The sequence below is a fragment of the Homo sapiens genome, chromosome 20, assembly GCF_000001405.40.
Source record: "Homo sapiens chromosome 20, GRCh38.p14 Primary Assembly".
NCBI lineage: Eukaryota > Metazoa > Chordata > Mammalia > Primates > Hominidae > Homo > Homo sapiens.
In genome coordinates, this window is record NC_000020.11 from 35,903,991 (window position 1) to 35,925,329 (window position 21,339).

The 21,339-nt window shown below is 43.6% G+C and overlaps 1 protein-coding gene across 11 annotated transcripts in view, besides 1 other annotated feature; it reads left to right on the top strand.

Annotated features, from left to right (window-relative positions):
- Positions 1-21,339, top strand: part of PHF20 (PHD finger protein 20) — a 178,356-nt gene that overhangs the window by 131,976 nt on the left and 25,041 nt on the right. For all 11 annotated transcript variants that reach the window (XM_047440180.1, NM_016436.5, XM_017027868.3 and 8 more), the window contains 3 exons: positions 9,259-9,357; positions 10,043-10,207; positions 13,494-13,672. In XM_047440180.1, coding sequence (XP_047296136.1) covers positions 9,259-9,357; positions 10,043-10,207; positions 13,494-13,672 — 443 coding nt within the window. The remainder of the gene's footprint in view (positions 1-9,258; positions 9,358-10,042; positions 10,208-13,493; positions 13,673-21,339) is intronic.
- Positions 2,633-3,133: an enhancer, noted in NCBI's record as "H3K27ac hESC enhancer chr20:34494545-34495045 (GRCh37/hg19 assembly coordinates)". NCBI's record gives its function as "activates a minimal SCP1, AML or CMV promoter by ChIP-STARR-seq in primed H9 embryonic stem cells {active_cell/tissue: H9 hESC(primed)}" and the evidence as "EXISTENCE:reporter gene assay evidence [ECO:0000049][PMID:30033119]".

The window sequence follows — 21,339 nt, forward strand, 5'->3', positions numbered from 1 at the left end:
AAATTTGAAAGAATAGAACCAACTTAATAGTATTGTGGTTTCACCTCAGGCTTCTGAGAATGCTCTTATCAGGGTGGAATTTCAGACAGTGTGGGGAGTTCAGTTGGGGAGACGTTTCACTGGGAGACGTTTCACAGTGGGACTCTGATACCAGGCAGCCTGTGTTTTAGTTTACAGGCAGTGTGAACTTGACATTCTGCTTAAGTGAAAAACAGAATATTATAGGATTTGTGCTGCGTGATAATAGTAACTGTAAAAAAGTACCCCCTTTATGCTGAATGCTCTGATTTTTTTTTTTTTTTTTTTTTTTTTGAGACAGAATCTCACTCTGTTGCCCAGCCTGGAGTGCAGTGGCGTGATCTTGGCTCACTGCAACCTCTGCCTTCGGGGTTCAAGCAATTCTCCTGCCTCAGCCTCCCAAATAGCTGGTATTACAGGCATTCACCACCACACCCAGCTAATTTTTGTATTTTTAGTACAGATGGGGTTTTGCCATGTTGTCCAGGCTGGTCTTGAACTCCTGGCCTCAAGTGGTCCCGAACTTGGGTTCTCATGGATTTCTCTGATGGAGATTCCTGGGGCTTCCAGCAAAACCACTGGGACTCGAAAGTACCCTGCAGAGATTTCTTGGCTTTGGACTCCTCAATATCTGGGTTGGTAAGGTTGGGCAGAAGTAGTAGTTCTGGTCTGAGAGTCCGTAGACTGATCTTAGTAGCAACCTGCCACTGTTCCCTTTGTGATCTCAGGCAGGTCTCTTCACAGATCTGATTTCTTTTCTCCTTCCTTCCTTCCTTCCTTCCTTCCTTCCTTCCTTTCTTTTCTTTCTTTCTCTTTCTTTTTTTTTGTTTGTTTGAGATGAAGTTTCACTCTTGTTGCCCAGGCTGGAGTGCAATAGTGCGATCTTGGCTCACCACAACCTCCGCCTCCCGGATTCAAATGATTCTCCTGCCTCAGCCTCCCGAGTAGCTGGGATTACAGGCGTGCACCACCATGCCTGGCTAATTTTGTATTTTTAGTAGAGACTGGGCTTCTCCGTGTTGGTCAGGCTGGTCTCAAACTCCCGACCTCAGATGATCTGCCTGCCTTGGCCTCCCAAAGTGCTGGGATTACAGAGATGAGCCACCGTGCCTGGCTGATCTCCTCATTTCTAAAGTGATGATGTAGAGCTAGGTATGCATGAGACCAGGCCCTTTCATGTGGGGAGAAAAGCTCATAAACAACGTGAGAAAGCTAAGTTCTGTGTTAGGAACATGTAAAGTGCTGTGGGAACACAGATTCAGATTTTGCCTGTAGGGTAGGAGCTGGACTGTTGAGAGGAGAAGGTGACATTTGAGTTAGGCCTTGCTGTGAATTGAATTGTGTCCTGCCTTCCTCCCTAAAATTCATCTGTTGAAGTCCTAACCCTCAGTGTGATGGTATTTGGCAATAATTAAGTTTAAATGATGTCATGAGGTTGGGGCCTTCATGATGGGATTAGTGGCATTATAGGAAGAGATCAGAGCTCCCCCTATCCCCCCATGTGAGGATGTAGCAAGAAGATGGCCATCTGCAAACTGGGAAGAGGGGCCTCACTGGGAACCAAATAGTCTGGCACCTTGATCTTGTAGTTTCCAACCTCCAGAACTGTGAGAAAGAAATATCTGTTGTTTAAGCCACATATAACATAATGTTTTGTTATAACAGCCTGAGCAGACTAACCCACGCCTTAAGGAGTGAGGCTAGATAGGAATTGGACCAGAAGCCGGGAAGAGGAAAAGCATCCCTGTGCCAGGAATAGGCATAGCAAGGGTTCAGAGGCATCAAGGGGAATAAACCAATCATCTGTCCCTAAGGTGCCCCTTCTGATGCCAGCCTTCTGTAATCCTGTCACTCATATGGTTCTTCTGCTCTCAGCCAAGCCTTTAGTTGCAAAATGAATTTAGAAGGTCAGTTTAGATTTGCTTTTCCAAATGAGGTTTCTCAGTATACCAGAGTCACTTAATAAATTCTCTTCCAGTAGCCAGCTCAGGCTCCCTTGGGTTTCTTTCTACTTAGGTGAGTTCAGTCCTGAATACAGGTTAGGCTCAGAAAGAATTTTCTAGTGTCAAAGAGGGCCTCTCCTGTGCTTATTATTACTTATTGCTACATCTGTTTGAGTCGTGCTCTCACCCTGGGTAAACCTCAGTTTTAGGCCAAAGTGAGCCTTGGGGCACTGGAGTGGGCACCTCTTCATTGCCATCCACACCTTTTCTCATGGGACTACACTGGCCTTATCGCAGGAACATGTCCTCCTCCCCTTAAAACAAAAAGAGCAGTGTGAGCTTAATTAGAATATGGATTATAGTGCCATAACAGAGAGAACAACATAGCTGGCTAAAATCAGAGAAGTTTATTTCCCTCTCAGGATGAACTGCAAGTTACCCATGGTGGCTGTGCTCAGGCTCTGAAGGTCCCCGGGCCTTGCTTTCTCCCCATTGTTCCACCAGGCTCTAAAGGTCCCTGGGCCTTGCTTTCTCCCCGTTTTTCCACCAGGATCTGAAGGTCCCTGGGCCTTGCTTTCTCCCCGTTGTTCCACCAGGCTCTGAAGGTTCCTGGGCCTTGCTTTCTCCCCGTTGTTGCCCCAGGTGCTGCTCTTCTTTGGTGTCCAAAATGGCTCCCTGCCTTGCTTATCTTTCAGCTGCTGGGAAGGGAAGTGAAGGGAAAGTATGCTCCTTTCTTTTAAGGCACAACCCAGAAGTGCCACACATCACTTCTTGTATCCGATAGGCAGAACATCTGCCACCCCTCTCTCAAGGGAACATGGAACATGAACTCTTCCTATGGAAGAAGTGGAGAAATAGTGTTGGGAAGGGCACTGCAGCCTTTACCACATGAGCTAAGAAGAATGCAGGGCTTGAGGAGGGAGGGGTTATTGGAGGGCCATCCTGGGTTGGTATCTGGGTGGGACTCATGGTAGGGGACTGATAGGAGATGAGATTGGGAAGGTAGACATGGTGAAATGACAGTGGCAGACCCTGACTACCACTTCTCTGATAGGCAGAGAGAACCCCTCCAAGCCCATATCTGCTTCTGTCTGCCCTTGAGCTACCACCCCCTTGTGCAGATCAGAACATGCTCTGGTCAGTGCTTGTCCCAGCCTCGTGGCTGAGCTCTGTGGTGTACAAGCAGTTACCCCATAGGTGGTGGTGATGCTATTCTTTTCCCTCCTGGAAGCGGCGGTCTGATGACAGTTGTCCCTCTGCTCTCATAAATCAGTGACTGGATGGAATACTCAAGAGTCAGCTGTATGGAGGAGCAAGAGGGCCTCTGGTATTTCTCCTGATGGACACCTGCAGCTTGGGGAGAGGACAAGTGGCCATCCTGGAGGAAAGCCTCACCCTGCTTAGGTGACAAGCTGCTCTCTGATCCAGAGCCTGGCAGGAAGTCACTCTTTGTCCAACCTAGTCAGGGCAGCCGGGAGGAAGCTCCACAGCCAGTACATGCTCTGTGGGTCATGGAACAATTGGTAAAGCTGTCCAGAGAGAGAGTTGACAGCAGACCAGCGACCAGCACTGCTTTCCAGGGAAAGAATATTGCAAGCAAGATAATAACAGCTGACATTTGAGTACTTCATGTGCTGGGCGCTGTTCCAAGTTCGTTACTTGTATTGTCTTATTTAGTTATCAGAACAAACCCTCTGAGGTGGGTGCTGTTATGCCTAATTTATGCAGTTATTCCACTGTGGTCTCAGAGTGTGGTTGATATGATTTCAATGATTTGAATTCACTGATACTTGGTTTATGGCCAAGCATGTGGTCAATTTTAGATTATTTGCCATTTGCAGATGGGTGGAATGTATAGTTTGTCATTGCTGGATTTAAGTCCAGTATTTCTTTGTTTTTTGCCTCGATGATCTTTCTAATGCTGTGTCAGAGGGGTGTTGAAGTCCCCCACTAAAATTATGTGACTAAGTCTTTCTTTAGGTCTGGAAGTACTTGTTTTAAGAATTTGGATGCTCTAATGTTGGCATATTAGGCATCTATAATGCCTAATTTATAGATTAGAAACTAAGGTGCAGATGAGATGGATTAATTTGAACCAATATTTACAGCTCTAGCAGGTGGTGGAGCCATGATTTGAATCTGTTGTGAAGCCCATACTCTCACTTTGAGGCTCTGCTGTCTTTTATGATTCCAGGGAAGAGTGCCTGTCCCAGGCCCTGGAGTGGGAGATAGGAGTGCCTCCCTGCAGGAGACTTCCTGTGCACCTGGCAGTCTGGGGATTTCTGCCTGTTGTCACCTTGTCTACTCCTGTTCCTCAGGGACTCACCTGCCTTAGCTCAGTCCTTGCTGGGCAATTCTCTGTGTCTTTTCTAGGGCCTGCAAGTTCTGCCACTGGAGTTTACAAATGACCACTATCTTTAGCCAGATAACCAGGTATGCCCTAGCATTGGGCAGTTTTCCTCTACATCTTGCCCTCTCTGTCTCAAGGATTTAGGACCTAGATTATGTTGCTGCTTCAGGCAGTTCTGCTGCTGACAAGATAAATTCTGTTAGCATTTCACTAAGCTGATGGGTATAATTACTTTAGTTGGAGGTCACTAAAACCTGAATTTACAAATAAAAACTGGATCAGGGAGCAGTCTGTGTGTGTGTTGTGGAGGAGTGTGGGTGAAGGTACAACAGATAATATCCCTCCTTTGCTGAGATCCTTCCAGTGGCTCCCTAAATCACTCATAGTAAAAGCCAACTTCCTCACAGGGCCCTTCATCATGTTCTGCTGCTAGCCTCCATCTGCTTCTTTCCCTTACTCAACCTAATTCTAATTTCAGTTCCATTGGAGCCATACAGATCTCCTTGCTATTTCTTTATTTCAAATTCCAGTTATTCATTGCTGGCATATAGAAAAGCAATAGATTGTTGTATATTAACTTTGTGTCTTGTAACCTTGCTGTAAGTGCTGTTCTGGCAGTCTTTGTTTTGATCAATTCTTTGGGATATTCTACATAGACAGATCATCTGCAAACAAAGATAGTGTTATTTCTTCCATTTCAATCTGTAGAGCTTTTATTTCCTTTTCTGGCTTATTCCACTCGCTAAGATTTCCAGTAAAATGTTGAATAGGAGTAGAGAGAGAGGCACCTTGCTTTGTTCCTGATCTTAAGGGGAAAGCATCCAATTTCTTACCATTAAGTATGAAGTTGGCTGCAAAGAAGTTCTTTATCCAGTTGAGGAAATTCCCTCCTATTCATAGTTTGCTGCCCCATCAGCTTTTTAGGTTGGTGCAAAAGTAATTGTGGTTTTTGCTGTGACTTTCAGTGGCAAAAACAGCAATTCTTTTGCACCAACTGAATAGAATGTAGCTCTGTGAGGGACAGGGGGTGTTATCTGTCTTTGTTCATTGCAATATCCCTCCTCCCTAGAATGTGCCTGGAACATAGTATATGCATGGTATCTGTTGCCTAAATGAATTGAAACCATGGCTAATAATACGGTGGTAGTCAAACTGTGTAAAAATGAGTTTTGTTTTTATGTTTGGGGAAGACCCTGTTCTCAGGATCAATGAAAAGTAAAAATGACTGATAGCTTTTTTGAAATTCAGAAGGCATCTGACCATGTTTTGCCAGTCTGCTGTCTTTGGGCCTTGGGTTTTTGGTTTTAAAAATGAGTGCTTTTACAAATTGGTCTAAGTTCTCTCCAGCTTTCATGTTTGTTGACTTTCTTTCTAGTTGCAGGGTATTTTAAAAGTTAAGGAGCTCAAATACCCTTAAGTCCTATGTTCTCTAGCCAGTAGATCAACTCTGCCTATAGATTCCAGGCTTGCCAGCCAGTAGGCACAGCCCACTCTTCCTTTCTGATGGTTACCAAGTGCTAATTTGGGAGAGGGGCCTGGGTTGCAGAGGAGACATGGTGCTGGAGAGTCAGACCAATTTGCTTTTAAATACCTATGTGATGTCAGGTGGGTGATTTCACCTCTCTGAGCTTCAGTTTCCCGGCCTGTAAAATGGGAATGATATACACACAAGTTGTTGTAAGGATTAAATGAGATATTTGTGGTTTCCTTGCACACAAGTGCTTAGTTAAAATGGAATCTGATTGTCTACCCTGCCTCACACCTGCTTTGTGGATATCTTGATTCCATATCAGAATCACTTGGAAAGTTTTAAAAATCCTGATATCCTTGAAAACATCATGCTAAATGAAAGAAACCAGACACAAAAGGTCACATATTGTATGGTTCCATATTTATGAGATATCCAGAGTAGATAAGCCCATGGAGTCAGATGCAGGTTGGTGGGGCTGAGGGGAAGGGCTTAGGGGAGGGGAAATGCTGCTTAATGGTAAAGGGTTTTACTTTGGAGTGATGGAAATGTTCTTAGAACTATATCAAAGTGGTCGTACAACATTGTGAATGTACTAAATGCAACTGAATTGGTTGTTTTTCTTTACAGCTGTATCGAGACTTAATTGTACAATGAACTACACATATTTAAATGGTATAATTGGTGAGATTTGACATATGTTTATACCCAACTATCACCACAATCAAGATAGTAAACATATTCCATTCCCTCCCAAACTTTCCTCATGCCCCTTTTTAGTTCCTCCTTCCCACCTCTCCCCTCCCCCTGAGCTCCAGGCAACCACTATTCTGCTTACTGTTACTTGTGGTGTGTTTTCTCTCTTTTTTCTTCCCCCCCGAGATGGAGTCGCTGTGTTGCCCAGGCTGGAGTGAAGTGGCACGATCTCAACTCACTACAACCTCTGCCTCCTGGGCTCAAGCGATTCTCCTGCCTCAGCCTCCCAAGTAGCTGGGATTACAGGCATGAGCCACCACACCCAGCTAATTTTTGTATTTTTAGTACAGATGGGGTTTTATCGTATTGGTCATGCTGGTCTTGAACTCCTGACCCCAGCTGATCTGCCTACCTTGGCCTCCCAAAGTGCTGGGAGTGAGCCAGCATGCCCAGATGGTTTGTTTTCATTTTGCAGACTATTGTAGAAATGGAATCCTGCAGTGCGCACTTGTTTTGTCTGGCTCCTTTCACCCAGCATACTTTGAGATTCACTTATGTTGCTGTTCGTACCTTTTTTTCTATTTTTATTTTTTGAGACGGAGTCTTGCACTGTCGCCCAGGCTGGAGTGCAGTGGCCAGACCTCAGCTCACTGCAAGCTCCGCCTCCTGGGTTCACGCCATTCTCCTGCCTCAGCCTCCCCAGTAGCTGGGACTACAGGCGCCCGCTACCACGCCCGGCTAATTTTTTCTGTATTTTTAGTAGAGACAGGGTTTTACCATGTTAGCCAGGATGGTCTCAATCTCCTGACCTCGTGATCCGCCCGCCTTGGCCTCCCAAAGTGCTGGGATTACCGGCATGAGCCACTGCGCCCGGCCTGCTGTTCCTACCTTTATTGCTGAAAAGTCTTCCATTGTGTGGATACATCATGAATTATTTGTACATTCACTTGATGGACATTTGGGCAGTTTTCAGTTTGGGGCGATTACAACTAAAACTGCTATGAGTCTTCATGTATAAGTCTCTATGTGGACGTAAGTGATGCTTTCTCTTGAATGAATATGTTGTAGTGGATGGCAAGGTCATAGGATATATGTACGTATAAACTCTTGTTGATATCTAAAAAGTAAGGCATGGTGAATTACTTGAAATCCTATAAATATATTTGGTAAGAGAAGAAGAAACGACTGGATTTTTTTGTTTGTTTGTTTTGGAGACAGATTCCCACTCTGTCACCCAGGCTGGAGTGCAATGGTGCGATCTGGGCTCACTGCAACCTCCGCCTCCCCGATTCGAGCAATTCTTCTGCCTCAGCCTCCCAAGTAGCTGGGATTACAGGCATCTGCCACCACGCCTGACTAATTTTTATATTTTTAGTAGAGACGGGGTTTTGCCATGTGGGCCAGGCTGATCTCAAGCTCCTGACCTCAGGTGATTCACCTGCCTTGGCCTCCCAAAGTGCTGGGATTACAGGCATGAGCCACCGTGCCCGGCTACGACTGAATTTTTCTTTCTTTCTTTTTTTTTTTTTTCTTTGAGATGGAGTCTCGCTCTGTCGCCAGGCTGGAGTGCAATGACATGATCTCGGCTCACTGCAGCCTCCGCCTCCCGTGTTCAAGCGATTCTCCTGCCTCAGCCTCCTGAGTAGCTGGGATTACAGGCACACACCACCAGACCCAGCTAATTTTTGTATTTTTAGAGAGACGGGGTTTCACCATGTTGGTCAGGCTGGTCTTGAACTCCTGACCTTGTGATCTGCCCGCCTGGGCCTCCCAAAGTGCTGGGATTACAGGCGTGAGCCACCGCACCCAGCAATGACTGGATTTTTCAATGGTGAAGCTATTAATTTTGAAAACTGATCTCAGTAGAGTGGTAGGTGGGAAGCTTTTTAGAATGTAATTAGGAAAAACTGTGAAGGGAGAAGTTTGGACAGGGAGGATTGACATCTTAAGGAGTTTTGTTGTAGAGTAGAGAGGATAAAGTTTTGGTATTTAGAAGGCATGAACTGTTCATTTAAAAATAATTTTATGTTATATGAATGGTACCTCAATTTTTAGAAAAAGAATGAAACAAGCAACAGAATCCTGGCTGGATGCGGTGGCTCACACCTATAATCCCAGCACTTTGGGAAGCTGAGGCGGCTGGATCACCTGAGGTCAGGAGTTCAAGACCAGCCTGGCCGAAATAGTGAAACCCCATCTCTACTAAAAATACAAAATTTAGCCAGGTGTGGTGGCGTGTGTCTGTAGTCCCAGCTACTCTGGAGGCTGAGGCAGGAGAATCGCTTGAACCCGGGAGGCGGAGGTTGCAGTGAGCTGAGATCGCGCCACTGCACTCCAGCCTGGGTGACATGGCGATGAAAACAACAAAAATCAGATCCCCAGGTGATTCCAGTATGTAGCCAGGGTTGAGGAGCAGTGATCTAAGTAGAGTTTTGCAAACTTGTCTGTAAAGGGCCAGATAATAAATACTTTTCAACCTTGGGGTTGAAAGGTCTCTGTCCTCACTTTTCAGCTCTGCTGTTGAAGTGTGAAAGACACGTAACCAATGAACATGGCATGTTTCACTAAAATCCATTTACAATGACGGGCCATGGGCCAGAGTGTGCTGAGCTGGACTGAAAGGCTAAGTGATGGAGGCGTGGCTCTGCCTCCAGACTGGAGCAATCTGCTCCAGACTTCCCAGGCAGAGCCAGACCCATCGGACATGCTTGCTTAGGAGAAGAATAAGCACCCCAGCATTGAAAACAAAATGTTAAAATGCCAACATTTGTGTTTAATTCTAGCTACAAAAGACAAGGAAAAGAATAAAGAGAAGAAATTCAAGGAGTTTGTGAGAGTGAAGCCAAAGAAGAAAAAGAAAAAGAAAAAGAAAACCAAACCTGGTAATTTTTTTTCCTGAGGGTTTCACTTAGGTTTCCTTACTATGAATGGGGAGGGGTTGCTTTCTCCCATTATGGCCTCTGGGCCTGCGCTGAGCAGAGGAAGGACCAATAGTCTCTTACCAGGGCTTGTGGGCTCAACCTAGTATGGGCCCTGGAAGGGGAGGCATCCACTCACCCAGGTGTTACAAAGTCCTGCTGGCATTGAAAAGCCTTCTCACTTGCTGCCTTGGCCAGTGTGCCCTGCTGCAGGATGGTACAGATGAAGGCATCGAAGTGTAAGCAGATGTGCAGGTGAATGATGGTATTTGTTCACACACACGACTCTTAAAACACATCTTTGAGCCCTCTTGAGAAAGGATTCCCTTCTTAAAAACTGTGTCTAGCCCTCACAAAAATGTTTAGAAAAATCTATATATTCTGACTTGGGACTTAAAGGATGCCACGTTTTATTCTTGGTGTATCTTCTAGCTTAGAAAAACAATCTTATCAGAAAAAGAGGAGAGGGTCAATACTTAAGAGGAGGTGTTTGGGCCCCTTCATCTGCTCTCCACACCTCTTTTTGGTTGAATTGTCCCTGAGCCTTTGTGCTGCTTGAAAAGGAGGCTTGTTGGTTGGATGAGATTGATTCTAGAATGCACCAGTGTTAACTAGGGTTATTCATTCCTTCCTGATCCTGTTCTTCCAGAATGCCCCTGCAGTGAGGAGATCAGTGACACCTCCCAGGAACCTTCTCCACCCAAGGCATTTGCTGTTACCAGGTGTGGGTCCTCACACAAGCCAGGGGTCCATATGAGCCCGCAGCTTCATGGCCCAGAATCTGGACACCACAAAGGGAAAGTGAAAGCATTGGGTAAGGAGGCTCTTCTGTCCTGATCATTTGCTGATCATTTATTGGAAAATACAAGCATACCTGGGAGATATTATGGGTTTGGTTCTAGGCCACTACAATAAAACAAATAAAGCTAGTCAGACATAATTTTTATTTTCCCAGTGTTTACAAAACTTATGTTTATACTATATTGTAGTCTCTTAAGTGTTCAGTAGCATATGTCTAAAACAATGCATATACCTTAATTGGAAAATATTGTTGTGTTGAGAAATGTCAAGTTTTTTGGAGTAAGTCCTCAAAAGCATAGACAATAAATAAAGAAATGGACAAGTGGGATTGCATCAAGCTGAAAAGCTTATGCACAGCAAACTAAACGATTAATAGAATGAACCGAAAACCTACTGAATGAAAGAAAATATTTGTAAACTATTCATCAACAAGAGATTAGTAGCTGGAATATATAAGAACTCAACTCAATAGAAAAATTATTCAATGTAAAAATTGGTGGCCAGGCGCGGTGGCTCACACTTGTAATCCCTACACTTTGTGAGGTGAGGCAGGTGGGTCACTTGAGCCCAGAAGTTTGAGACCAGCCTGGCCAACATGGTGAAACCCATCTCTGCAAAAATACAAAAACTTAGCCAGGCGTGGTGGTGTCTGCCTTGTAATCCCAGCTACTCGGGAGGTTGAGGCAGGAGAATCGTTTGAATCTGGGAGGCAGAGGTTGCAGCGAGCCAAGATCATGCCACTTCACTCCAGCCTGGGTGACAAAGCCAGACTCCGTCTCAAAAAAAAAAAAAAAACAGTAAAATATGTTATATATATACATATACATATATATATGTATATATGTAAAAAAAAAGGTAAAATGTTTTATATATATATATATAGATATACACACACTTACACACATATATATATGTGCTCAACCTAATATGGGCCCTGGAAGGGAGGCACCCACTCACCCAGGTGTTACAAAGTCCTGCTGGCATTGAAAAGCCTTCTCACTTGCTGCATTGGCCAGTGTGTCCTGCTACAGGATGGTACATATGAAGGCATTGAAGTGTAAGTGGATGTGCAGGTGAATGATGGTATTTGTTCACACACACGACTCTTAAAACATATCTTTGAGCCCTCTTGAGAAAGGGTTTATATATATAATTTATATTTTAAAATATATATATATATTTTGTTTTGTTTTGTTTTGTTTTGCTTTGTTTTTGTTTTTGAGACAGAGTCTCACTCTGTTGCCCAGGCTGGAGTGCAGTGGCGCGATCTTGGCTCACTGCAACCTCTGCCTCCTGGATTCAAGCAATTCTCCTGTCTCAACCTCCCAAGTTGCTGGGATTACAGGTGTACGCCACCACGCCTGGCTAATTTTTGTATTTTTAGTATACACAGGGTTTCACCATGTTGGTCAGGCTGGTCTTGAACTCCTGACCTTGTGATCCACCCACTTCGACCTCCCAAAGTGCTGGGATTACAGGCATGAGCCACCGTGCCTGGACTGTTACATTTCTTAAAACTTTCTTTGAAATAAAATTAGTTTAGTTATTCCATATGTCCTGAAAAATGTGACATATGTGTTCATTAGATCAATCTTGTTTTGATGTAATGTTCAAAAATTTGAACTAGCAATACATTTCATTATGTTAACTGACAATTTAAAAAATGAAAGCTGGGTGCAATGTCCCACACCTGTAATCCCAACACTCTGGGAGGCTGAGGCGGGTGGATTGCTTGACCCCAGAAGTTCAAGACCAGCCTGGGCAACATGGCAAACCTTGCCTCTACAAAAAATACAAAAAAAGTTAGCCGGTTGTTGTGGCATGCACCTGTAATCTCAGCTACTTAGGAGGCTCAGGTGGGAGGAACACCTCAGCCCAGGAGGTCAAGGCTGCAGTGAGCTGTGATCATGCCACTGCACTCTGGGAGAAAGAATGAGACCCTGTCTCAAAAATAAGTAAATAAAATAAAAATAATAAAAAGTAAAACAATATTTTATTGCTTAAAAATGCTGACAGACACAAAGTATTTGCTTTTGCAATAATGGTGTCAGTAGACTTTCAGGGTTGCTGCCACACACCTTCAATTTGTAAAATAATATACAATATCTGTGAAGTGCAATAAAATATTAATAGTTATGCCTGACTTAGAACAGTATCTGCTTCAGAACAAGCGCTTAGTAAAAGTTAGCTGTGATTATAACTAATCAGGCATCAAGTGATTCTGCCTCTGATTATCCCTGGAATCTTCCTCTTCCTCATTCCTCACTGTCTATAGAGTTTTTGTTTTTGATTTTTGTTTTTGAGACGGAGTCTCACTCTGTCACCCAGGCTGGAGTGCAGTGGCGTGATCTTGGCTCACTGCAACCTCTGCCTCCTGGGTTCAAGTGATTCTCCTGCCTCAGCCTCCCCATAGCTGGGATTACAGGCGCACACCACCACACCTAGCTAATTTTTTTGTATTTTTAGTAGAGACAGGGTTTCACCACGTTGGCCAGGCTGGTCTCAAATCCTAGGCTCAAGTGATCGGCCCACCTTGGCCTCCTAAAGTGCTGGGATTACAGGCGTGAGCCACTGTGCCCAGCCTGTTTGTCTTTTGAGACAAAGTCTCACGCTGTCACCCAGGATGGAGTGCAGTGGTGTGATCATAGCTCACTGCAGCCTCAAACTCGCAGGCTCAAGGGATCCTCCTGCCTCAGCCTCCTCAGTAGCTGGGACTGTAGACGTGCATCACCGTGCCCAGCTAATTTTTTTTTTCTTTTAGTGGAGATGGGGTTTTGCCATGTTGCCCAGGCTTGACTTGAACTCTTGAGTGCAAGCAATCCTCCTCCTTCGGCCTCCCAAAATGCTGGTATTAGAGGCATGAACCACCATGCTCAGCCTTTGTTTACAGAGTTTTAAAGGTAGCTCTGGATACAGACAGACTGTAAGCCAGGTCCTGACTGGATGGAGTGAGGCTGAAGAACATGTTAGAGTTGTCAGGGATGGTGGCCTGTGTGGTTCATGGGGAGTTGTAGCTCCTCTGCCACTGAGTTCTATGATCTTGAGTAGCCACTGCCGTTGGGCTTCATTCTCTCAGTGAAATGAGGAAGTGGAGTTGAGTTCACTGCCAGGCAGCATGCTTCGTTTGGGCTGTTACTAAATGACAGATCCAAGGACAGATTGGCATCCTCGTTTCCTTGCCCTATGAATGTTCTTGTTTGGAGGTATGGGACTATAATGTCATTTTTCATTCTTGACAATCAAAGGTTTTTTAATTTTATAACCTAAAATAGTAACTGTTGTTTTCCCTTTCCTCGTAGAGGAGGATAATTTGAGTGAGTCCTCTTCTGAGAGCTTTCTCTGGAGTGATGATGAGTATGGCCAAGATGTGGATGTGACCACCAACCCAGATGAGGAACTTGATGGGGATGACCGCTATGACTTCGAGGTGGTCCGCTGCATCTGTGAGGTCCAGGAGGAAAATGACTTCATGATTCAGGTAGGCAGAGCTTCCAGGAAACAGGTCTAGAGAAGCACAAACTGGTCCTTGGAGGGAATTTTGAGGCCAGCAACAATGGCAAGTCATAGCAGAGCCCCAGAAACACAGCACGAACGGCAGCAGACTGAGCTTCTCTTTTTCGTTTGGCTTCCTCAGAGTTCCAGGCTGCCATACATAGTCCATTGATGGAGTAAGAGAGGACTTTAGGGATCACTGAGTCTAAACCTCTCATGCTCTGCTTGAGGCAGCTGGGACCCGCAAATGGGAAGGGCCTTGCCTGTGGTCACAAAGTGAGGAGTTGAACAGCAGGGACTGAAATCTTTGGAGTGGCAGTTTAATCTTCCCATGGACTCTTATCTTCTCTTTGAGGTAAATTTTCTTTAAGATCCAAAGTCATGCAGGCTGGCTTTATAACTTCTATGTTTCTTTTTCTTTATTTTCCTGACATTTGAGTCTGTCATCTTCATCTCTGAGATGTGCCTGTGGTGGGTGGGACCTCCTTACCTGCTTGGGGAAACCATGCCTGGCCAGCACCTGCCTGCCCTGTCCCTTGTCTGTAAATTGCAGTTCTGGGAGAGGTGGCGCTGGCTGGCTGGCTCCTAAGGGTGTCACAAGTTCCCTGGGTGTCTTGACAGCTGCCCAACTGGCTTGGGAAGCTGAGTTTTTAAAAGTCATGGTTATATTGGTTAGGATTTTTTTTTAGGGGCAAGTACAAATATTGTTGGGAAAATAGACTGGGTCCTAGGGCTCAGAGGCAGGGCTGCTTTCAGGCTCAGAACCTGGAATTCCATCTTGAGGGCCTTGGTCTGCCTTGTTTCCTGCTTCTCTGGAGTCCTTTTGGTTCTTTTTTATTTTATTCCTTGCTTATTTTCTTGGAAAATGCAAAATGGCCACCTTTGGCCTCGCCCCAATTTTACATTTTTGTGTTCAAGAGGCTAGGTAGACCAAGGTCAGAATCTTAGTCCCAGTTCTAAATTTCTGAGTAAGTAATTCCAGCCAAATTTAGATCAGATATTAGTTTTTGGAACAGTCACCTGTGGCCAGAGGGGAAAGAGGTTTGTTATGGATCAAATGCTCTCCCCTGGTCTAGTTGTCTGATCTGGTGGTAGTAGAGCTTACAGATTATCGACAGGGGCAAAAAGACTGCCTGGGGCCCACCTGTGTTATATTATAGCGTTAATGGGGGTTCAGGGATTGTTCCCAGTAAAGGGGGTGGCTGCCCATTGTCCAATAAGAATCTGTATAGCCTATTGAGATTATGAGAAACAGGCCCAGCCCCTTTGGCTTGCTTTCTGTGATAGAATATTATTTCCTTGCCCTTTCAGTACTGTAGGTTGGCATGGCATGGGTTTGGTTTTTTTTTTCTTTTTGAGACGGAGTTTTGCACTTGTTTCCCAGGCTGGAGTGCAATGGCGCGATTTCGGCTCACCACCACCCTCTGCCTCCCAGGTTCAAGCGATTCGCCTGCCTCCACTGCCCGAGTAGCTGGGATTACAGGCATGTGCTACCACGCCCGGCTAATTTTTGTATTTTCAGTAGAGAAGCGGTTTCTCCATGTTGGTCAGGCTTGTCTGGAACTCCCGACCTCAGGTGATCCACCTGCCTTGGCCTCCCAAAGTATTGGGATTACAGGCGTGAGCCACCGCGCCTGGCAAAATATTTTTGTTATGGTAATTTTTTTTTTTTTTTTTTTTTGAGACGGAGTCTCCCTCTGTCACCCAGGCTGGAGTGCAATGGCGCAATCTCGGCTCACTGCAACCTCTGCCTCCCGGGTTCAAGCGATTCTCCTGCCTCAGCCCCCTGAGTAGCTGGGACTATAGGCGCCTGCCACCATGCCCGGCTAATTTTTGTATTTTTAGTAGAGACGGTGTTTCACCATATTGGCTAGGCTGGTCTTGAACTCTTGACCTTGTGATCTGCATGGCATGGATTTTTGAAATTCACTTTTGGATCTTGACTTAATATACAGTTACATTTTTTCCTCTCATCTTTGAATTTGTTGTCTTTATACTCAACAATCCCCTTTCCTTTTATTTCTTGAAACATTGGGACTTTTCCGTAGCTCTTTAAACTTTCAGAACAACTAGAGATGAGTAGATGTATTTGCTTTTTTGCCTTTTATTTTCCCAGGGCTTTTAGAAAACACTTTTATTTTGAAATAATTATAGATTCACAGGAGATTGTAAAGAGGTGTACAGGAGAGTCCCATGAATTCCTCTGCTGGTCTTCCTCCCATGGCAAAAGCCCATAAACCCACAGTAGGATATCAAAACTACAAAACCATTTGACATTGGCATAATCACTAGAGCTTATTCAGATTTTATCAGTGATATACACATACTCATTTGTGTGTGCATATAGCTCTGTGTGCTTTCATTACAAGTACAGCCTTGTGTAATCACTCCCGCAATCAAGGTACTGAGGTATACTAAGACCATGAGATTCCCTCCTGGTACCCATACTTTGTAGCCATACTTATCCCTAACCCTGGAAACACTAAACTGTTTCAACTGTCTATAATTATGTAATTTATGATTCTTGGTTAATGGAATCACGTGGTATGTATCTTTTTGAGAGAGGCCTTTTTTACTCTGTATAATATCCTTGAGATTCATCCATGTTGTTGTGTGTTTCAGTAGTCATTTATTCTTATTGTCCGGTAGTATTCCATGCTATGGATGTACCACAGTCGTGCTCTTTTTGTTAATAGAACTAAAGCAACTCTATGGAGCTAAGGTAACTGGGTACAGCTGAGTAGTGATTTAAAGTTTCTGGAGTGTTTTCAGAAATACCATCTCACCTCTAACAAGGCGATCTCAAGTCACTTATTTGGGAAAACAAAATTACGAAGATATGATTTCTTTCATTGTTGTAGAACCATTAAATAAGTCATCAGATTATGATTTGAACCCAGGGCACCCAGTCAAGTGCTCTTTCCCTATGCGGCCTTAGCTACGGGGATTTACATTTACAGTTGAGAAGTGAAACAAGAAAAATTTGTTTTTGAAACATAATAGTACCATCTAGCCTGGCTGACCAACCCTTCCCCAGCACCACCAGTGGACATGCGCATGTACATACACACATACATACCCACACTTTAGGCTGAGGGAGAGTCTTGTCTTTTTGAATAGCCTTCATAGTAACCTCTGGGATTCAAGGGTACCTGATATTTAAGACCTTTATTAAACCTTGGTTCAGTGGTTTTCAAACATTTTTGAATATCAGAACCCCTTTTCCTAATGGACTGTTTCATAGAACCCCAAAATGTGTAACAGGTAACAGCAATAGTTTTGAAAGTTCAAAATGGATAATCTTTACTTGTGAGGTCGGACATGTGAATGGTGGGCATATTCCCATGATTCTAATATGCTGTCAGAATTATGAGTGACAGACAGTTGCTGACTTGGAGCACTTCAGTGGCTCATTTGTTTTTCTCTATTTGGTTATACAACAGTGAGACAAGCGTGATGCACATGGCCATTGTCAGGGTGACTTTTCCTGAACAGCATGCTGTGTAGTTACTTTGATTAATCAGAGATGGGAGGACAAGCTCCGTTTTGAGGTCAACATAATACTGAGCTATCCTAGCAATACAAAATTATGTGTGGTGGCGGGCTTCATTGTCTTAACATATGGCTTGGAACATGTTTGAGTGTGCATCTTTTTTTTTTTAATTGTCCTACCTTAAAAACACACACATTTTGCAGACTCTCTGAAGCCCTGTGGACTACTATTAGATAATTGTTGGTTGGGCATGCTGTAATCCCAGAATTTTGGGAGGCAGAGGCGGGAGGATTGCTTGAGCCCAGGAGTTCGAGACCAGCCCTGGAAACATAGCAAGATCCTACCTCTACAAAAAAATTAAAAAATTAGCTGGGCATGGTGATGCATGCCAGCAGACCCAACTACTCCAGAGACTGAAGTAGGATGATCACTTGAGCCTGGGAGTTCAAGGCTGCAGCGAGCCCTGGTTATTCTGTTGCACTCCAGCCTGGGTGACAGAATGAGACCCTGTCCCCACCCTCCCCCCCAAAAAAAAGAAAAGAAAAAAAATGTTATATAACATGAAGACTATCATTTTTTAGTAGATTTTTTTTAAGTTTGTTTTTAAAAGGATGTTGAAGATCTTTAGTTTCTACTCTGTCATCCTTGAGCATATGCTCAGTTCCAGGCCTTGTTAGTCTGACAGATTTGCCCTTTATCTGCCTGTTAAAATCTTCAGTGGGTGAGTAATGAATGTCCCTCCTGGCAGGGCTATTCTGTCTAACAGTATGTAACCCATTTCTGATCCACTCTGGTACTTTCTCTATTGACTTTTCTATAAGTAGCAAGGATCTTGGTGTGTTTGAGGGTAGAGGTTAATATGCCATTATGTGCTATATGAAGAAACTAATTTCGGGGCAATTGGGGCCACCATGAGCATGGCAGAGTCAGGAGCCAACTTGATCTCCTGCTTCCCAGGCTCCACAAGACCTTGTGTCTCAAGCTCACTTCAGAGCTTCTTGGCTTTTGTTCCAGAGGACTTTTCTGTGCTGTCCACCTGAACCAAGAGTGCCCACCTGGCTTTGTGTTAAGGAGGGACGGTTTCTGACTGTCCTGTCACTGTGAGCAACGTACCTTTTCTACTCAATAACTTTATCAAAAGGCATAAGTTTAGAGGGAGCTAGCTAGAACAAATACAGTTTAAACTTTTAAAATGTATTCACCATCTAATTAGGAAGACAGGAATAAATTTTTCTTAAATCTTTACCTTAAATTGATATTTTGAATAACCCTAGAATACATTTAGAGTGTGTTTTCTAGAAGTGCATGTATTACTATAGAGAAATAACTTTTTGGATCATTGTCATTATATGAGTAGTATCAACATTGTTCATGTATATCACTATTTTATCTTATTTACCAGTGCTAATTTAAATCACTGGAAGGTTAAAATCCTACTTAATAAATACGGTATTTGAGAAATCTGGCTACCACATAAAAATGAACAGGAAATACATTTGATATTTAAATTATTTTAATCGCTGTAGAGCATGTTTTGTTAAGCTTTTTCTTAAATGGCTAGATAATAAATTTTTAGGTTTTGAGGGCCATATGGCCTTGTTGCACCTACTGGATTCTTCTTTGAGCAGCTGTAGGCAATATGTAAAACAAATTTTCACCTGTATGGTTGGCTGCAGTGGCTCACATCTGTAATACTAGCACTTTGGGAGGCTGAGGTGGGCAGATCACTTTAGGCCAGGAGTTCAAGACCAGCCTGGGCAACGTGGCAAACCCTGTCTCTACAAAAAATACAAAAATTAGTTAATTGTGATGGTGCACACTTGTAGTCCCAGCTTCTCAGGAGGCTGAGGTGGGTGGATCACTTAAGCCTGGGCAGTCAAGGCTGCAGGGAGATGAGATTGTACCACTGCACTACAACCTGTTCAATAGAGTGAGACCCTGTCTCAAAAAACAAACAAACAAAAACCCCTAAACAAATGCGTATGGCTGTGTTCACATAATACTTTATTTACAAAACAAGTCAAGCTGGCATTGGCACATGGGCTGTAGTTTGCTGACCTTTGCCCTACAACAACAAGTATTAATATGTATTAAGTGTCCAACTCCAGTAAAGATTTTATAGCAGTTTTAAAAAGAAGCCCATTTTAATGGCCTAGCACTGTGGCTCACACCCGTAATCCTAGCACTTTGGAAGGCTGAAGCGGAAGGATCACTTGAGTCCAGGAGTTCAAAACCAGCTTGGGCAACATAGAGAGACCCCGTTTCTACAAGAAATTAAATAAAAATTAAGTAAATAAAAATTTAAACAAAGAAGCCCATTTGAAAGTTTTGGTTATTTTAAAATTCATATTATTTGTTGGTACCTAATGCACTGACATAATTCAAAGTCCAGAAAGCACACAGAGAAATACCTTATCCCCACCTTATCCCCAACTACCCATTCCGTAGAGTCAGCCCTTATCAGTTTCTTGTATATCCTTCCAGAAACATTCTATGGCTAAACAAACAATAGCAAATGTATTGTTTCCTTTTAAAAATTTTTTGGTAAAATACACATAACATTAAAAGTTACCCTTTTTATTTTTATATTTTCCTATTTTGAGACAGGATCTTGCTTTGTCACCCAGGATGGAGTACAGAGGCACAATCACAGCTCATGGCAGCCTCCAGCTCCTGGGCTCAAGTGATTGTTCCACCTCAGCCTTCTAAGTAGCTGAGACTACATGCACACAACATCACACCTTGCTAATTTCTTTAATTTTTTTTTGTAGAGATGGAATCTTGCTATGTTTTTCAGGCTGGTCTCAAACTCCTGGCCTCAAATGACCCTTCCTCCTCAGCCTCCCAAAGTGCTAGGATTACAGGTGTGAGCCACCCTGCCCTGCCTAAAAGTTACCATTATAACCATTTTTAAGTATGCAAGTCAGTGATGTTAAGTACATTCACATTGCTTTGCAACCATCTCTTTGTCTAAATGCAAATGTTTGCATTTTATGTATAGTATTTTCTTTTCTTTTCTTTTCTTTTTTTTTTTTTTTTGCGATGGAGTTTTGCTCTTGTCGCCCAGGCTGGGGTAGTGCAATGGTGTGATCTCGGCTCACTACAACCTCCACCTCCCAGGTTCAAGTGATTCTCCTGCCTCAGCCTCCCGAGTAGCTGGGATTACAGGCATGCACCACCACGCTTGGCTAATTTTGTATTTTTAGTAGAGGCAGGGTTTCTCCATGTTGGTCAGGCTGGTCTTGAATTCCCGACCTCAGGTGATCCGCCCACCTCGGCCTCCCAAAGTTCTGGAATTACAGGCATAAACCACTGTGCCTGGCCGCATGTATAGTATTTTTAACATCTTTTTTCATTTAGCAATATGTAAATTAAAAACCATTTTATTTTCTGCATAATGGTTGGATCACATTTTATTTTACTTTATTTTATTTTATTTTTTTGACGGAGATTCGCTCTGTCACCCAGGCTGGAGTGCAGTGGCATGATCTTGGTTCACTGCAACCTTCCTCTCCTGGGTTCAAGTGATCCTCCTGCCTCAGCCTCCTGAGTAGCTGGGACTACAGGTGTGTACCACCACACCTGGCTAATTTTTTGTATTGTTAGTAGAGATGAGGTCTCACCATGTTGGCCAGGCTGACCTCAGGTGACCAACTCCTGACTTCAGGATATCCTCCCGCCTCGGCCTCCCAAAGTGCGGGGATTATAGACAAGAGCCACTGCGCCTGGCCCATTTTTCTTTTTTTTAAGCTATATAAATATTTGATCCACCTGAAATTTTGCCAGGTATATAGTGAGAACTATGGCTCCCCATTGTACTAATACCATACCTCACTGTTTGAAATGCCACCTTTATTTACTTCATTTCTAAATGCATTTGAATCCTTTTCTGGTTCTCTCTTTCAGCGATTCATCTGTCTGTATATTTGCTCGTACAATTCTATTTTAATTATTGTACCTTTATAATATTTTTAAAATATCTGGTATGGCTAGTGTCTCCATATTGCTCTTTCTTTTTCACACATTTCCCAGCTGTTAATTTTAGAATTTTTTCTAGTTCTGAAGCTATTAATTTATTATTTTATTGAGACTTTTTTTTTTTTTTTCTGATATGGAATCTCGCTCTGTTGCCCAGGCTGGAGTGTAGTAGCGTGATCTTG